Source organism: Homo sapiens, chromosome 19 (genome assembly GCF_000001405.40).
Source record: "Homo sapiens chromosome 19, GRCh38.p14 Primary Assembly".
In the NCBI taxonomy this organism is placed as follows: Eukaryota; Metazoa; Chordata; class Mammalia; order Primates; family Hominidae; genus Homo; species Homo sapiens.
In genome coordinates, this window is record NC_000019.10 from 53,821,104 (window position 1) to 53,839,451 (window position 18,348).

The window sequence follows — 18,348 nt, forward strand, 5'->3', positions numbered from 1 at the left end:
TCGCTCACTGCAACCTCCACCGCCTGGGTTCAAGTGATTCTCCTGTCTCAGCCTCTAGATTAGCAGGGATTACTGGCGCCCGCCACCACACCCGGCTAATTTTTTTGTATTTTTAGTAGAGACAGGGTTTCACCATGTTGGCCAGGCTGGTCTCGAACTCCTGACCTCAGGTGATCCATCCACCTCAATCTCCCAAAGTGCTGGGATTACAGGCGTGAGCCACCGCACCCAGCTCATTGTGATTATTTTATGAGATAGAAGATATAATAAAAGAAATCATGTTGGCTGGGCACGGTGGCTCACACCTGTAATCACAGCACTTTGGGAGGCCGAGACGGCTGGATCATGAGGTCAGGAGATCGAGACCATCCTGGCTAACATAGGGAAACCCCGTCTCTATTAAAAATACAAAAAATTAGCCAGGCATGGTGGCGGGCACCTGCAGTCCCAGCTACTCGGGAGGCTGAGGCAGGAGAATGGCGTGAACCCAGGAGGTAGAGCTTGCAGTGAGCTGAGATTGCGCCACTGCACTCCAGCCTGGGCGACAGAGCAAGACTCTGTTTCAACAACAACAACAAAAAGAAATCCAAGAGTGCTAAGGAGGCACAGAAGTGGGGTTTCTGAGCCAGCCAGAGTGGTGGGAGCGAGGAATCAGAAGGAGTGGGGGAAGAGGAGTAAATACTTTACTTTAGAGAAGGTAGTGGCTTCAAGGTTTCAGTAAGTAATACTTTTCCAGGCAAAGAAGATGGAGAATATTCCAGGCAGAACACAGCATGAACAAAGACCAAAGGGATGAAATTAGAATTCTGTACACAGTCATAAAAAAGAACAAAATCATGTTCTTTGCAGTAACATGGACGCAGCTGGAGGCCATTATCCAAAGCAAACTAATGCAGGAATAGAAAACCAAAGACTGCATGTTCTCACTTATAAGTGGAAGCTAAACATTGGGTTCTCATGGACAGAAAGATGGGAAGAAGAGACACTGGGGACTCGTGGCGGGGAGAAATCTCACCATTGGGTACTATTACTATGTTCAAGTACCTGCATGATAGGATCAATCTTACTCTGAATCTCAGCATCACTCAATATACCCATGTAACAAACCTGCACATGTACCCCTTGAATCTAAAAGTTGAAATTTTTATATAGATATAGATGTGTGTGTACGTAAATTAGAATTCCAGATCTCCCAGGCTCAGGGATTAGTATGAAAGAAAAGGGAATTGGTGGCCAGGCAGTGGTCATTCATGCCTGTAATCCCAGCACTTTGGGAGGCTAAGGTGGAAGCTCGCTTGAGCCCAGGAGTTCAAGACCAGCCCGGGCAACATAAGGACACCTCATCTTGGCCGGGCACAGTGGCTTATGCCCGTAATCCCAGCACTTTGGGAGGCTGAGGTGGGTGGATCACGAGGTCAGAAGTTCAAGACCAGCCTGGCCAAGATAGTGAAACCCCGTCTCTACAAAAAATACAAATACAAAAAATTAGCCAGGCATGGTGGCAGGTACCTGTAATCTCAGCTACTCGGGATGCTGAGGCAGAAAATTGCTTGAACCTGGGAGACGGAGGTTGCAGTGAGCGGAGATTGCGCCACTGCACTCCAGCCTGGGCAACAGAGCGAGACTCAGTCTTAAAAAAAAAAAAAAAAAAGGATACCTCATCTCTTTCTTAATTTATTTTTGAGATGGGGTTTCACTCTGTTACCCAGCCTGGAGTACAGTGGTGCAATCTCAACTCACTGCAATCTCCACCTCTCAGGTTCAAGCGATTCTCCTGCCTCAGCCTCCCATGTAGCTGGGACTATAAGCGTGTGCCACCACGCCTGGCTAATTTTTGTATTTTTAGTAGAGACAGGGTTTTGCTATGTTGGCCAGACTGATCTCGAATTCCTGACCTCAGGTGACCCACCCGCCTTGGCCTCCCAAAGTGCTGGGATTATAGGTGTGAGCCACTGCACCTGGCTACCTCATCTCTTAAAATATATATACACACACACATATACACACACATATATATACACATATATACACATATATATACGTGTGTGTATATATATATAAATTCCAGATCTCCCAGGCTCAGGGATTTTATATATATGTATTTTAAATATTTATTTTAATAATATATGTATTAAATATTTAATATATAATATTTATTATTTATATATATTTATATAATATACCATATTTATATAATATAGTATATTTATATAATAAATATATACTATATTTATATATAATATATACCATATTTAATATATATTTAATAATATAATTATATACATATTTTAAATATATATTTAAAATATATGTTTTAAATATATATATTTAAAATATATGTTTTAAATATATATTTTAAATATATATTTAAAATATATATTTTAAAATATATTTATTTAAAATATATATTTAAAACATATATTTTAAATATATATATTTTAAAAAAATATATTTTAAATATTTGAGGCAAGGTCTCGTTCTGTCACCTAGGCTGGGGTGCAGTGGCAGGATCATAGCTCACCGCAGCCTCGACCTTCTGGTCTCAAGTGATCCTCCCACCTCAGCCTCCTGAGAAGCTGGGATCACAGACGTATACCACCACACCTGGCTAATTTTTTTTATTTTTGGTAGAGACAGAGCCTCACTATGTTGTCCAGACTGGTCTTGAACTCCTCACCTCAAGTGATCTGCCCTCTTCAGCCTCCCAAAGTGCTGAGATTACAGGTATGAGTCACTGGACCCGGCTGGCATTCTAGCCTTGCCTGTCCCGCCACCTCCTTACCCCTCACCAGGTCCTCTCTCTGTCCTCTCTCCCACAGGTCCTTCCTGTTTATCCGCTCAAAGGTGCTGAGAGCCAACCTCCAGGCCTCCTCTGGCCCGAAGTGGGTGATGAGCAGCTGGGCCATTTCCAGGGGACCGGCCTTCTCCATGCTTCCCCAGGGGATCTTGCCTTCTCCCAGCTCTGTCGCGGTCCCCAGGTATAACTTGAACTTCTTCAGTTCCACAGCCTCGAGTTCTTCCAAGTAGGTGGACAGGCGACAGAGGCCGTCCCTGCCTGCGGTTCGTAGCATGGGGGTGCCGTGAGCCCCAAAGGAGAGGACCTGGAGGCTGAGATGCTCCTATGCACGGGACACAGGGCGACCCCAGCACACCTTCCATTGCATCATTCACAGGCAGCGGGCGGAGAGGCTGAGCCAGTGGTTGGAGGAGAGAGCAAGGGAGGAAAGACCTTTTGCTGAAATAATGCTTTCTCACTCTTCAGTTCCCTCCTGCCCTGCCCCACTCACCAATGGCTGTTCTGGGTGGAGAAGAGGAAGTTCGGGGGGAGATTAAGAAATCCGAGGAGCCACTTGGCTGATGAAAAAGATTTTCACTTCTGCTGTCTCTTCCTGGATCTCTTGACAAAACAGTCACTCTCTTTCCGCTTTCCTCTTGTTTTCCTCATTTCACTAGTGTGTGTGGTAGAGTGTATTATCAAAACTGCGACTGCGCCTCTTCCAGGGAGAATTTTTTTTTTTTTGAGACAGAGTCTTACTCTGTGGCCCTGGCTCTGCGATCTTGGCTCACCGCAACCTCTGCCTCCCAGGTTCAAGCGATTCTCCCACCTCAGCTTCCCTTGAGTAGCTGGGATTACAGGCGCCGGACACCACACCCAGCTAATTTTTGTGGTTTTAGAAGAGACAGGGTTTCACCATGTTGGTCAGGCTGGTCTCGAACTCCTGACCTCAGGTGATCCACCCGCCTCAGCCTTCCAAAGTGCTAGGATTACAGGTGTGAGCCACCGTCCCTGGCTTTTTTTTTTTTTTTTTTCTTTGAGTCAGAGTCTCACTCTGCCACCCAGGCTAGAGTTCACTGGCGTGATCTCAGCTCACTGCAACCTCCGCCTCCCAGGTTCCAGCGATTCTCCCACCTCAGCCTCTCAAGTAGCTGGGACCACAGACATGCGCCACCATGCCCAGCTAAGTTTTTGTAGTTTTGGTAGAGACAAGGTCTTCTTATGTTGCCCAGGCTGGCCTTGAACTCCTGAGCTCAAACGATCCGCCCACCTCAGCCTTCCAAAGTGCTGGGATTACAGGCATGAGCCACTGAGCCCAGCCTCAGGGAGAATTATTAAGGACCTCACGTAGGTCTGCTATTTTTTTTCTGTTCTCTCAGTCACAAGAGTGGCATGAGAGGGACTTTGCGGTAGGCAGGATGATGGTCCCCAAAGATATTCATGTCCTAATGGCCAGAACCTGTGACATTTCACCCTACATAGCAAAAGAGACTTAGCATATGTGACCAAATGAAGGCACTTCAGATGGGGACATTATCCTGGTTATCTGGGCAGGACCCATGGAATCACAAGAGTCTTTTTTTTGAGACAGAGTCTTGCTCTGTTGCCCAGGCTGGAGTGCAGTGGCACGAACTCGGATCACTGCAAGCTCCGCCTCCCAGGTTCACACCATTCTCCTGCCTCAGCCTTCCGTATAGCTGGGACTACAGGTGCCCGCCAACACGCCTGGCTAATTCTCTTTTTTTTGTATTTTTAGTAGAGATGGGGTTTCACCATGTTAGCCAGGATGGTCTTGATCTCCTGACTTCGTGATCCACCTGCCTCAGCCTCCCAAAGTGCTGGGATTACAGGCGTGAGCCACCGCACCCAGCCACAAGAGTCTTTATAAGAAGAAGACAGGAGGGTTAGTGTAAGAGGAAGATGTGACTGGGTGCAATGGCTCATGCCTGTAATCCTAGCACTTGGGGAGGCCAAGGCAGGTAGATCACCTGAGGCCAGGAGTTTCACACCAGACTGGTCAACACAGTGAGGCCCCATCTCTACAAAATATGTGTTAGCAGAATTTATGAATTCTGATGGAAGAGCAAGTTTATAATTCCCTCTGTCTCCTGCATCATGCCAACTTTGTTTCATGCTCCTAATCAATTAAGACCCCTCAGACACACACACACACACACACACACACACACACACACACACACACACACAAAAGCCTTCATAGCCAGGCGCAGTGGCTCACACCTGTAATCCCAGCACTTTGGGAGACTGAGGCGGGCAGATCACCTGAGGTCAGGAGTTTGAGACCAGCCTGGCCAACATGGTGAAACCCCGTCTCTACTAAAAATACAAAAATTAGCCGGGCTTGGTGGCACGCACCTGTAATCCCAGCTACTTGGGAGGCTGAGGCAGGAGAATCACTTGAACCCGGGAAGCAGAGGTTGCAGTGAGCCGAGACTGCGCCACTGCACTCCAGCCTGGGCAACAGAGCGAGACTCTGTCTCAAAAAAAGAAAAAAAAAATTAGCTGGGGTTTGGTGGCGGGTGCCTGTAGTCCCAGCTACTCAGGAGGCTGGGGCAGGAAAATCACTTGAACTCAGGAGGCGGAGGTTGCAATGAGCCAAGATCCCGCCATTGCACTCCAGCCTGGGTGACAGAGTAAGACTCCGTCTCAAAACAAAACAAAAAAAACCTTCACAGCTTTTTATGAGACATTCTCCCACATCCAGTCCCTTCCAGGACTAATATTCTGTTGCATGGCATGCAGCAGTTTTGAGCAGGGGAGGGATGGAGTCAGGTCTGGGTTAAGGAAGATTCCTCAAGGCCCTTGTGGAAGGCAGACCAAACAGAGGAGGCCTGGATTGGGAGAGCGAGAAGCTGAAGCCTTCATGTTTCAGGAGATGGAGATAATGCCTGAGTAAGGGCAGGCGGTGGGTGCATCCTGGGAGTGTGGGGATGGCAGTGATCATTAGAGGGGAGGAGAAAGGTTTGGCAAACCTGAACTACCTACAGACCCCATCTGAGCTTCCTCAAGTGGCTCACGACGCAGGCTCCTTCCACGCCACTGCTGCAGGTGGTGGTAAAACTAATTTCTAGGAATTCGGAAGCGAGGCTTGGGGGAAGCTGAATCCACATCTGTCTACTTCATGCTTCCACTTTCAAGATAGAACTTTCTCATGGGGAAAGAAGAGAATTGGCAACTTCTATAGCTGCTTCTGGGCTTAGTGCCATTTCTGGAAACACAAGAATGAATCTAAAGACAAGGAATGCCATTTTCCTTTTTTTTTCTTTTTTTTTTTTTGTTTTTAGTAGATGGGGTTTCACCATGTTGCCCAGGATGGCCTTCAACTCCTGAGCTCAAGCGATCCTCCCACCTCGGCCTCCCAAAGTGCTGGGATTACAGGCATGAGACACCGCACCCAGCCCAATTTTCCTTTTTTAAAAAATTTTTTTGCTGGGTGCAGTGGCTCACGCCTGTAATCCCAGCATTTTGGGAGGCTGAGGCGGGTGGATCATTTGAGGTCAGGAGTTCAAGACCAGCCTGGCCAACATGGTGAAACCCCATCTCTACTAAAAATACAAAAATAACCTGGGTATGGTGGTGGGCACCTGTAATCCCAGCTACTTGGGAGGCTGAGGCAGAAGAATCACTTGAACCCAGGAGTGGAGGTTGCAGTGAGCCGAGATCACATCACTGCATTCCAGGCTGGGTAACAGAGACACCATCTCAAATAAATAAATAAATAAATAAATAAATAATAGAAGTTGTCACCACCACCTGCTTGCCACTCCCTTGAATTCTTTCCTGTGTGAAGCCAAGAACTATCCCGGGGTAAGCCCTGTTTTGGGGCCTCACTTGCCTAGCATCACAAGGATAAACCCATTCAAAGCAGGTGCTAATTTGCCCTGTTGGTTTTCAACTAGAAGAGAAATTATTATCATCAGGGACATTTATAAAAATTATATATAGAAGGCTGGGTGTGGTGGCTCACGCCTGTAGTCCCAGCACTTTCGGAGGCCAAGGTGGGCAGATCACTTGAGGTCAGGAGTTTGAGACCAGCCCGGCCAACATGGCGAAACCCCGTCTCTACTAAAAATACAAAAATTAGCCGGATGTGCTATCGCGCACCTGTAATTCCAGCTACTCGGGGGGCTGAGGCACGAGAATCACTTGAACCTTGGAGGTGGAGGTTGCAGTGAGCCGAGATCACGCCACTGCACTCCAGCCTGGGTGACTGAGTGAGACTCTGTCTCAACAACAACAACAAATTAAAAATAAAAAAATAAATAAAAATACAAAAATTATCCAGGCATGGTGGCGTGTGCCTGTAATCCCAGCTACTCGGGAGGCTGTGGCAGGACAATCTCCTGAACCTGGGAGGCGGAGGTTGCAGTAAGCCGAGATCACACCACTGCACTCCAGCCTGGGCCACAGAGTGAGACTCCGTCTCAAAAAAAAAAATTATATATAGATGAAATATTTTATATACATTACAATAAGAATTATAAATATATAAATATGTATATGAAATTGGTCCCTCTCTAGACTTCCTGAATCAGGATCTTGGTGGGGCAGGGGCCATCAAACATATGTTTCTTTTTCCTTTTTTTCTTATATTAATTTTTTGAATAGAGATGAGGTCTCACTATGTTGCCCAAGCTGGTCTGGAACACCTGAGCTCAAGTGATCCTCCCACCTCAGCCTCCCAAAGTGCTGGGATTACAAGTGTGAACCACCACGCCTGGCTAAATACATGTTTTTATAATATAAAGCTCCCCTAGTGATTCTGCTGAGAAACATTTCTCTGTGTTAGTACTAGAAAGGCACAGAGAAATGCTTGTTTTTCTATCAGCAGAATTTCCCTTTTGCCATTCCGGAAGAGACCTGTTTCCTTTGAGGGAATACTTTGAGAAGTCACTTGAGTATGAAATCTGTTAACTGGAGAAATTTTGCAGTATGGTGTTTGCTTGTTTGCAGGTAAAACTAAATCATTCAGGATAAAAAGGCATTTTAGAAGCCACGTGGGGAAAGGCAGAAGGAAAGGAAATAGGAGGTGTCAGGTGCCTGGGAAGAACATTTGGAGGGTTTATGGAGATGAGTAATAGGAATTTAAATTGCTTTACTATATGGTGTACGATGAAAACTGTCTTCTACCCCAACCAAACCCATCATCAGTAAAACCTATGCTGCTCGCTAGCACGTTGTGAACATGGATTTGCTGCGTTTTTTTGTTTTGTTTTTTTGCTTTTTCTGAGACAGTTTCGCTCTTTCTGCCCAGGCTGGAGTGCAATGGCGCCATCTTGGCTCACTGCAATCTCCTCTTCTCGGGTTCAAGCGATTCTCGTGCCTCAGCCTCCAAGTAGCTGGGACCACAGGCGCGTGCCACTACACCCGGCTAATTTTTGTATTTTTAGTAGAGACAGGGTTTCACTGTGTTGGTCAGGCTGGTCTCAAACTCCTGACCTCAGGTGATCTACCTGCCTCGGCCTCCCAAAGTGCTGGGATTACAGGCGTGAGCCACCATGCCTGGCCTGATTTGCTTTTACAGGCAGTGTGACAAAATGGTGTCTCTAACTGGCATTGAATGACTGTCCCGTGGGAGGCCACATCTGAGGTTTCTGTGCCTCTTTGTTGTCACATAGAGAGGATACCGAGTGCTACCCACTGTTCCCATGACCATCACCAGCATCACTAGCTCACCACGAACTGGCTAGAAAATGGAAATCATCATTCTCCACCTATGAATGGGGAAACTGAGGCTGAGAGGGAAGCTCTGAGTGTGTGGCCTACACAGCAGTGCTGGAAAATGATGGAGACGACTCTGAAAGCCAGTTCTGGCTCCAAACTTCAAGCAGCTAAAATCCTCATCAGCTTGTACAATGAGGCCAACCCTCCAATTTGAAAGAGGGATAGACTGAGGTCCAAAGTAGCAAAGTCACCTGCAGACCATCATATAGCACTCAAAAGTTGCCCAGGGGCTGCTAGGATGCAGTCTTCTTCTTCCTTTTTTTTTTTTTTTCTAATGAGATGGAGTCTTGCTCTGTCACAAGGCTGGAGTGCAGTGATGTTATCTCAGCTCACTGCAACCTCCACCTCCTGGGTTCAAGCAATTCTCCTGTCTCCGCATCCCGGGTAGCTGCGATTACAGGCACCTGCCACCACTCCCAGCTAATTTTTGTATTTTTAGTAGAGACGGATGATCTCGATCTCCTGACCTCGTGATCCACCCGCCTCGGCCTTCCAAAGTGCTGGGGTTACAGGCGTGAGCCACCGCGCCCAGCCACAGTCACTTTCATCAGGGCCTGAGTGTAGGGGTTGTGAAACTTCCTCCCCTGTGAGCTATGTCCTCACTTTTACCACAGACCCTGGCAGGAAACATCCTGGCTGTGACTTTCCCTGTGGGTTTTAGGAACAGTTGCACAGGGTCCAGCCCCACCACAGGCTCCACTACCCTTGCCCTGATCAATCGGGAAGATTCAGCCACAGCTGATGGTACTAAAACTTTGGTTTTTTTTTTTTTTTGAGATGGAATCTCACTCTGTTGCCCAGACTGGAGTGCAGTGGTGCCTTCTCAGCTCACTGCAACCTCCGCTTCCCAGGTTTAAGTGATTCTCATGTCTCAGTCTCCGCAGTAGCTGGGATTACAGGCACCCACCACCATGCCCGGCTAAGTTTTGTATTTTTAGTAGAGATGGGGTTTCACCATGTTGGCCAGGCTGGTCTCGAACTCCTGACCTCAAGTGATCTGCCCGCCTTGGCCTCCCAAAGTCCTGAAATTACAGGCATGAGCCACCTCACTCAGCCGGATGATACTTAAAACTTAGTATCAGGGAGAAGTAGGTGGCACTTAAAGAAAATGTATTATGTTCCTTCCTTCTCAGACCAATAATCTCCCTCTGTATTAGCTAAGTTTCCTCAGAGAAACAGAATCAATGGAAGGGAGACATCCACACACAGAGAGTTAGAGAGAAAGGGATTTATTATGGGGACTGGCTCACAGGCATGCAGAGCCCTAGGAGTTGCACCATCTGCCAGCTGCCAGCTGTAGAAGCAGGAAAGCTGGTGTGGAATTCACTCCAGGACCAAAGGCCTGGGAACCAGGAGCTCCGATGTCCTAGGGCAAGAGAAGATGGACTTTCCAGTTTAAAAAAAGAGGGCAGGCTGGGCGTGGCAGCTCACGCCTGTAATCCCAGCACTTTGGGAGGCCGAGGTGGGCAGATTACCTGAGGTCAGGAGTTCGAGCTCCACCTGACCAACATGGAGAAACCCCATCTCTACTAAAAATACAAAATTAGCTGGGTGTGGTGGCACATGCCTGTAATCCCAGTTACTCGGGAGGCTGAGGCAGGAGGATCGCTTGGACTCAGGAGGCGGAGGTTGCGGTGAGCCAAGATAGCACCATAGTACTCCAGCCTGGGCAAAAAAAAGGGCAGGCCGGGCGCAGTGTCTCAAACCTGTAATCCTAGCATTTTGGGAGGATGAGCCAGGAGGATTGCTCGAGCCCAGGAGTTTGAGACCAGCCTGGGCTGTCAGGCCTCTGAGCCCAAGCCAAGCCATCGCATCCCCTGTGACCTGCACGTATACGCCCAGATGGCCTGAAGTAACTAAAGAATCACAAAAGAAGTGAATATGCCCTGCCCCACCTTAACTGATGACATTCCACCACAAAAGAAGTGTAAATGGCCGGTCCTTGCCTTAACTGATGACATTACCTTGTGAAAGTCCTTTTCCTGGCTCATCCTGGCTCAAAAAGCTCCCCCACTGAGCACCTTGCGACCCCCACTCCTACCCACCAGAGAACAAACCCCCTTTGACTGTAATTTTCCTTTACCTACCCAAATCCTATAAAACGGCCCCACCCTTATCTCCCTTCGCTGACTCTCTTTTCGGACTCAGCCCACCTGCACCCACGTGAAATAAACAGCTTTATTGCTCACACAAAGCCTGTTTGGTGGTCTCTTCACACGGACGCGCGTGAAATTTGGTGCCGTGACTCGGATCGGGGGACCTCCCTTGGGAGATCAATCCCCTGTCCTCCTGCTCTTTGCTCCGTGAGAAACATCCACTTACGACCTCAGGTCCTCAGACCGACCAGCCCAAGAAACATCTCACCAATTTCAAATCTGGTAAGCGGCCTCTTTTTACTCTCTTCTCCAACCTCCCTCACTATCCCTCAACCTCTTTCTCCTTTCAATCTTGGCGCCACACTTCAATCTCTCCCTTCTCTTAATTTCAATTCCTTTCATTTTCTGGTAGAGACAAAAGAGACACGTTTTATCCGTGAACCCAAAACTCCGGCGCCGGTCACGGACTGGGAAGGCAGCCTTCCCTTGGCGTTTAATCATTACAGGGACGCCTCTCTGATTATACACTCACATTTCAAGGGTGTCAGACCACGCAGGGACGCCTGCCTTGGTCCTTCACCCTCAGCGGCAAGTCCCGCTTTCCTAGGGGGCAAGAACCCCCCAATCGCTTATTTCCGCACCCCAACCTCTTATCTCTGCGCCCCAATCCCTTATTTCCACACCCTGACCTCTTATCTGTGTGCCCCAATCCCTTATTTCCGTGCCCCAACCCCTTCTCTGCTTTCCTGGAGGGCAAGAACCCCCCACCCCTTCTCCGTGTCTCTACTCTTTTCTCTGGGCTTTCCTCCTTCACTATAGGTAAGTTTCCACCTTCCATTCCTCCTTCTCCCTTAGCCTGTGTTCTCAAAAACTTAAAACCTCTTCAACTCACACCTGACCTAAAACCTAAATGCCTTATTTTCTTCTGCAATGCCGCTTGACCCCAATACAAACTGGACAGCAGTTCCAAATAGCCGGAAAACGGCACTTTCAATTTTTCCATCCTGCAAGATCTAAATAATTCTTGTCGTAAAATGGGCAAATGGTCTGAGGTGCCTGACGTCCAGGCATTCTTTTACACATCAGTCCCTTCCTAGTCTCTGTGCCCAGTGCAACTCGTCCCAAATCTTCCTTCTTTCCCTCCCGCCTGTCCCCTCAGTACCAACCCCAAGCGTCGCTGAGTCTTTCTAATCTTCCTTTTCTACAGACCCGTCTGACCTCTCCCCTCCTCGCCAGGCCGAGCTAGGTCCCAATTCTTCCTCAGCCTCCGCTCCTCCACCCTATAATCCTTCTACCACCTCCCCTCCTCACACCCGGCCCGGCTTACAGTTTAGTTCCGCGACTAGCTCCTCCCCACCTGCCCAAGAATTTCCTCTTAGAGAGGTGGCTGGAGCTGAAGGCAGTCAGGGTACATGTACCTTTTTCTCTATCACGCCTCTCTCAGATCAGTCAACGTTTAGGCACTTTCTCATCAGACCCCACTAAACATATACAGGAATTCCAATATCTAACTCTGTCCTACAACAACCTGGAGTGACTTAAATGTCATCCTGACTTCTACCCTCTCCCCAGATGAACGGGAAAGAGTTTGTTCTCTAGCCCAATCTCATGCTGCTAACCACTGGCTTCATGAGCCAGACCTCCAGGAAGGCATTAGAGCAGTTCCCCGAGAGGATCCCCAGTGGAACTACCAGGCAAATTCCCCAGGTATAGCTAGGCGAGATTACATGGTTTCCTGCCTAGTTGAAGGGCTTAAAAAAGCAGCTTACAAAGCTGTTCATTATGACAAACTTAAAGAAACTACCCAAGGTAAAGATGAAAACCCAGCCCAGGTCATGGCTCGTTTGGCAGCAACCTTTAGACGCTATACCGCCCTAGACCCTAAAAGGTCAAAAGGCCGTCTTATTCTCAACATACATTTTATTACCCAATCTGCTCCCGACATGAAATAAAACTCCAAAAACTGGAATCTGGCCCTCGAACCCCACAACGGGACTTAATTAACCTCACCTTCAAGGTGTGTAATAACAGAAAAAAGTTGCAATTCCTTGCCTCCACTGTGAGACAAACCCCAGCCACATCTCCAGCACACAAGAACTTCCAAATGCCTGAACTGTAGCAGCCAGGCGTTCCTCCAGAACCTTCTTCCCCCAGGAACTTGCTACACATGCTGGAAATCTGGCCACTGGGCCAAGGAACGCCCGCAGCCCGGGATTCCTCCTAAGCCGCGTCCCATCTGTGTGGGACCCCACTGAAAATCGGACTGTTCAACTCACCTGGCAGCCACTCCCAGAGCCCCTGGAACTCTAGCCCAGGGCTCTCTGACTGACTCCTTCTCGGCTTACCGGCTGAAGACTGATGCTGCCTGATCGCCTCAGAAGCCCCGTAGACCATCACGGATGCCGAGCTTTAGGTAACTCACAGTGGAGGGTAAGTCTGTCCCCTTCTTAATCAGTACGGAGGCTACCCACTCCACATTACCTTCTTTTCAAGGGTCTGTTTCCCTTGCCTCCATAACTGTTGTGGGTATTGACAGCCAGGCTTCTAAGCCTCTTAAAACTCCCCCAATTCTGGTGCCAATTAGACAATACTCTTTCAAGCACTCGTTTTCAGTTATCCCCACCTGCCCAGTTCCCTTATTAGGCTGAGACACTTTAACTAAATTATCTGCTTCCCTGACTGTTCCTGGACTACAGCTATATCTCATTGCCGCCCTTCTTCCCAATCCAAAGCCTCCTTTGTGTCCTCCTCTTGTATCCCCCCACCTTAACCCACGAGTATAAGATACCTCTACTCCCTCCTTGGCGACCGATCATGCACCCCTTACCATCTCATTAAAACCTAATCACCCTTACCCCACTCAACGCCAATATCCCATTCCGCAGCACGCTTTAAAAAGATTAAAGCCTGTTATCACTCGCCTGCTACAGCATAGCCTTTTAAAGCCTATAAACTCTCCTTACAATTCCCCCATTTTACCTGTCCTAAAACCAGACAAGCCTTACAAGTTAGTTCAGGATCTGCACCTTATCAACCAAATTGTTTTGCCTATCCACCGCGTGGTGCCAAACCCATATACTCTCCTATCCTCAGTACCTGCCTCTACAACCCATTATTCTGTTCTGGATCTCACACATGCTTTCTTTACTATTCCTTTGCACCCTTCATCCCAGCCTCTCTTCGCTTTCACTTGGACTGACCCTGACACCCATTAGGCTCAGCAAATTACCTGGGCTGTACTGCCGCAAGGCTTCACAGACAGCCCCCATTACTTCAGTCAAGCCCAAATTTCATCCTCATCTGTTACCTATCTGGGCATAATTCTCATAAAAACGCACGTGCTCTCCCTGCCAATCGTGTCCTAGTGATCTCTCAAACCCCAGCACCTTCTACAAAACAACTCCTTTCCTTCCTAGGCATGGTTAGCGTGGTCAGAATTCTTACACAAGAGCCAGGACTGCACCCTGTAGCCTTTCTGTCCAAACAACTTGACCTTACTGTTTTAGCCTAGCCCTCATGTCTGCGTGCAGGGGCTGCCGCTGCATTAATACTTTTAGAGGCCCTCAAAATCACAAACTATGCTCAACTCACTCTCTACAGTTCTCATAACTTCCAAAATCTATTTTCTTCCTCATACCTGACGCATATACTTTCTGCTTCCCGGCTCCTTCAGCTGCACTCACTCTTTGTTGAGTCCCACAATTACCATTGTTCCTGGCCCGGACTTCAATCCAGCCTCCCACATTATTCCAGGTACCACACCTGACCCCCATGACTGTATCTCTCTGATCCACCTGACATTCACCTCATTTCCCCAAATTTCCTTCTTTCCTGTTCCTCACCCTGATCACGCTTGATTTATTGATGGTGGTTCCACCAGGCCTAATCGCCACACACCAGCAAAGGCAGGTTATGCTATAGTACAAGCCACTAGCCTGCCTCTTAGAACCTCTCATTTCCTTTCCATCGTGGAAATCTATCCTCAAGGAAATAACTTCTCAGTGTTCCATCTGCTATTCTACTACTCCTCAGGGATTATTCAGGCCCCCCTCCCTTCCCTACACATCAAGCTCGAGGATTTGCCCCACTCAGGACTGGCAAATTAGCTTTACTCAACATGCCCTGAGTCAGATAACTAAAATACCTCTTAGTCTAGATAAATACTTTCACTGGATAGGTAGAGGCCTTTCCTACAGGGTCTGAGAAACCACCGCAGTCATTTCTTCCCTCCTGTCAGACATAATTCCTCAGTTTAGCCTTCCCACCTCTATACAGTCTGATAACAGATGAGCCTTTATTAGTCAAATCAGCCAAGCAGTTTTTCAGGCTCTTAGTATTCAGTGAAACCTTTATATCCCTACGGTCCTCCGTCTTCAAGAATATTAGAATGGACTAAAGGTCTTTTAAAAACACACCTCACCAAGCTCAGTCACCAACTTAAAAAGGACTGGACAATACTTTTACCACTTTCCCTTCTCAGAATTCAGGCCTGTCCTGGGAATGCTACAGGGTACAGCCCATTTAAGCTCCTGTATAGACGCTCCTTTTTATTAGGCCCCAGTCTCATTCGACACCAGACCAACTTAGACTGTGCCCCAAAAAATACTTGTCATCCCTACTATCTTCTGTCTAATCATACTCCTATTCACCATTCTCAACTACTCATACATGCCCTGCTCTTGTTTACACGGCCGGTTTACACTGTTTTTCCAAGCCATCACAGCTGATATCTCTTGGTGCTATCCCCAAACTGCCACTCTTAACTCTTGAAGTAAATAAATAATCTTTGCTGGCAGGACTATGCTGAATCTCCTTAGGCACTCTCTAATCAGATATCCTGAGTCATCCCAATTCTTAGACCTTTTATACCTGTTTTTCTCCTTCTGTTATTCCATTTAGTTTTTCAATTCATACAAAACCGTATCCAGGCCATCATCAATCATTCTATACGACAAACGTTTCTTCTAACATCCCCACAATATCACCCCTCACCACAAGACCTCCCTTCAGCTTAATCTCTCCCACTCTAGGTTCCCACGCCGCCCCTAATCCCGCTTGAAGCAGCCCTGAGAAACATCGCCCGTTCTCTCTCCATACCACCCCCCAAAAATGTTCGCCGCCCCAACACTTCAACACTATTTTGTTTTATTTTTCTTATTAATATAAGAAGGCAGGAATGTCAGGCCTCTGAGCCCAAGCCAAACCATCGCATCCCCTGTGACCTGCACGTATACGCCCAGATGGCCTGAAGTAACTAAAGAATCACAAAAGAAGTGAATATGCCCTGCCCCACCTTAACTGATGACATTCCACCACAAAAGAAGTGTAAATGGCCGGTCCTTGCCTTAACTGATGACATTACCTTGTGAAAGTCCTTTTCCTGGCTCATCCTGGCTCAAGAAGCTCCCCCACTGAGCACCTTGCGACCCCCACTCCTACCCACCAGAGAACAAACCCCCTTTGACTGTAATTTTCCTTTACCTACCCAAATCCTATAAAACGGCCCCACCCTTATCTCCCTTTGCTGACTCTCTTTTCGGACTCAGCCCGCCTGCACCCATGTGAAATAAACAGCCATGTTGCTCATACAAAGCCTGTTTGGTGGTCTCTTCACACGGACGCGCATGAAATGGGCTACATGGAGAAACCCCATCTCTACAAAAAATACAAAATTAGTTGAGCATGGTGGCACAGTCCCAGCTACTCGTGAGGCTGAGGTGGGAGCATCACCTGAGCCCAGTAAGTCAAGGTTGCAGTGAGCTGTGATCGCACCACTGCACTTCAGCCTTGGCAACAGAGTGAGACCGTGTCTAAACAAACAAAAACAAAACAAAAAAACACCCAAAAACAGAAAGGGCAAATTTGCCCTTGTTCACTTGGCCAAGGTCACACAGCCATGAGGTACAGGGGCAAACAATGGACTTGGGCCACACTAATCGCAGCCGTCACCCCTACTCTGTCACATACAGGCATCTGTGTAAAAATAAAATAAAATTACAATTACAAAAATAAAGTAGGGCCAGGTGCGATGGCTCATGCCTGTAACCCCAGCACTTTGGGAGGCCGAGGCGGGTGGATCACAAGGTCAGGAGTTCAAGACCACCCTGGCCAATATGGTGAAGCCCCGTCTCTACTAAAAACACAAAAAAATTAGCCGGGTGTGGTGGCGGGCACCTGTAATCCCAGCTACTCAGGAGGCTGAGGCAGGAGAATCACTTGAACCCAGAAGGCAGAGGTTGCAGTGAGCCAAGATCGTGCCACTGCACTCCAGCCTGGGCGACACAGTGAGACTCTGTCTCAAATAAGTAAATAAATAAAATAAAATCAAAATAGACCTACCATTTGATGCAGCAATCCCACTCCTGGGTGTCTACCCAGCGGAAAAGAAGTCATTATACAGAAAAGATACTTGCACACACATGTTCATTGCCACAATTTGTAATTGCAAAAATATGGAACCAGCCCAAATGCCCATCAATCAACGAGTGGATAAAGAAAATGTGGTATATATATATATATATATGCCATGGAATACTATTCAGCCATAAAGAGGAACAAAATAATGGCATTCACAGCAACCTGGGTGGAATCCGAGGCTATTATTTTCAGTGAAGTAACTCAGGAATAGAAAACCAAACATCACATGTTGTTACTCATAAGTGGGAGCTAAGCTATGAGGTCGCAAAGGCATAAGAATGATACATTGAACTCTGGGGACTTGGGGAAAAGGTGGGAGTAGGGGTGATGGATAAAAGAGTACACATTTGGCATAGCGTGCCCTGCTCGGGTGATGGATGCACCAAAATCTCAGAAAACACCACTAAATAACTTATTAATGTAACCAAACACCACTTGCTCCCTAAGACTCTATTGAAATAAAAAATAAGGGCCAGGCATGGTGGCTCTGTGGGGAAAAGCAAGAGAGATCGGATTGTTACTGTATCTGTATAGAACGAAGTAGACATAGGAGACTCCATTTTGTTCTGTACTAAGACAAATTCTTCTGCCTTGAGATGCTGTTAATCTATGCCCTTACCCCCAACCCCATGCTCTCTGAAACATGTGCTGTGTCCACTCAGGGTTAAATGGATTAAGGGCGGTGCAGGATGTGCTTTGTTAAACAGACGCTTGAAGGCAGCATGCTCCTTAAGAGTCATCACCACTCCCTAATCTCAAGTACCCAGGGACACAAACACTGCGGAAGGCCGCAGGGACCTCTGCCTAGGAAAGCCAGGTATTGTCCAAGGTTTCTCCCCATGTGATAGTCTGAAATATGGCCTCATGGGAAGGGAAAGACCTGACCGTCTCCCAGCCCGACACCCGTAAAGGGTCTGTGCTGAGGAGGATTAGTAAAAGAGGAAGGCATGCCTCTTTGCTGTTGAGACAAGAGGAAGGCATCCGTCTCCTGCCCGTCCCTGGGCAATGGAATGTCTCGGTGTAAAACCTGATTGTATGTTCCATCTACTGAGATAGGGGAAAACCGCCTTAGGGCTGGAGGTGGGACATGCGGGCAGCAATACTGCTCCGTAAGGCATTGAGATGTTTATGTGTATGCATATCTAAAGCACAGCACTTAATTCTTTACCTTGTCTGTGATACAGAGACCTTTGTTAACGTGTTTATCTGCTGACCTTCTCTCCACTATTATCCTATGACCCTGCCACATCCCCCTCTCTGAGAAACACCCCAAAATGATCAATAAATACTAAGGGAACTCAGAGGCCGGGGGAT

General features: G+C 47.5%; 1 protein-coding gene across 15 annotated transcripts in view, besides 5 other annotated features; it reads right to left on the minus strand.

The window, feature by feature from the left end:
- The window catches only part of NLRP12 (NLR family pyrin domain containing 12), a 30,820-nt gene extending 27,520 nt beyond the window's left edge, over positions 1–3,300 (minus strand). For 10 of the 15 annotated variants that reach the window (XM_017027462.2, XM_047439676.1, XM_047439673.1 and 7 more), the window contains 1 exon segment: positions 2,783–3,300. In XM_017027462.2, the coding sequence (XP_016882951.1) occupies positions 2,783–3,071 (289 nt within the window). In that variant the 5' untranslated portion in view covers positions 3,072–3,300. 15 annotated transcript variants of the gene reach the window in all.
- Positions 8,452–9,221: an enhancer, noted in NCBI's record as "H3K27ac-H3K4me1 hESC enhancer chr19:54332809-54333578 (GRCh37/hg19 assembly coordinates)". NCBI's record gives its function as "activates a minimal SCP1, AML or CMV promoter by ChIP-STARR-seq in primed H9 embryonic stem cells {active_cell/tissue: H9 hESC(primed)}" and the evidence as "EXISTENCE:reporter gene assay evidence [ECO:0000049][PMID:30033119]".
- Positions 9,992–10,759: an enhancer, noted in NCBI's record as "OCT4-NANOG-H3K27ac-H3K4me1 hESC enhancer chr19:54334349-54335116 (GRCh37/hg19 assembly coordinates)". NCBI's record gives its function as "activates a minimal SCP1, AML or CMV promoter by ChIP-STARR-seq in naive and primed H9 embryonic stem cells {active_cell/tissue: H9 hESC(naive and primed)}" and the evidence as "EXISTENCE:reporter gene assay evidence [ECO:0000049][PMID:30033119]".
- Positions 11,530–12,299: an enhancer, noted in NCBI's record as "NANOG-H3K27ac-H3K4me1 hESC enhancer chr19:54335887-54336656 (GRCh37/hg19 assembly coordinates)". NCBI's record gives its function as "activates a minimal SCP1, AML or CMV promoter by ChIP-STARR-seq in primed H9 embryonic stem cells {active_cell/tissue: H9 hESC(primed)}" and the evidence as "EXISTENCE:reporter gene assay evidence [ECO:0000049][PMID:30033119]".
- Positions 13,070–13,837: an enhancer, noted in NCBI's record as "H3K27ac hESC enhancer chr19:54337427-54338194 (GRCh37/hg19 assembly coordinates)". NCBI's record gives its function as "activates a minimal SCP1, AML or CMV promoter by ChIP-STARR-seq in primed H9 embryonic stem cells {active_cell/tissue: H9 hESC(primed)}" and the evidence as "EXISTENCE:reporter gene assay evidence [ECO:0000049][PMID:30033119]".
- Positions 15,378–16,147: an enhancer, noted in NCBI's record as "OCT4-NANOG-H3K27ac hESC enhancer chr19:54339735-54340504 (GRCh37/hg19 assembly coordinates)". NCBI's record gives its function as "activates a minimal SCP1, AML or CMV promoter by ChIP-STARR-seq in primed H9 embryonic stem cells {active_cell/tissue: H9 hESC(primed)}" and the evidence as "EXISTENCE:reporter gene assay evidence [ECO:0000049][PMID:30033119]".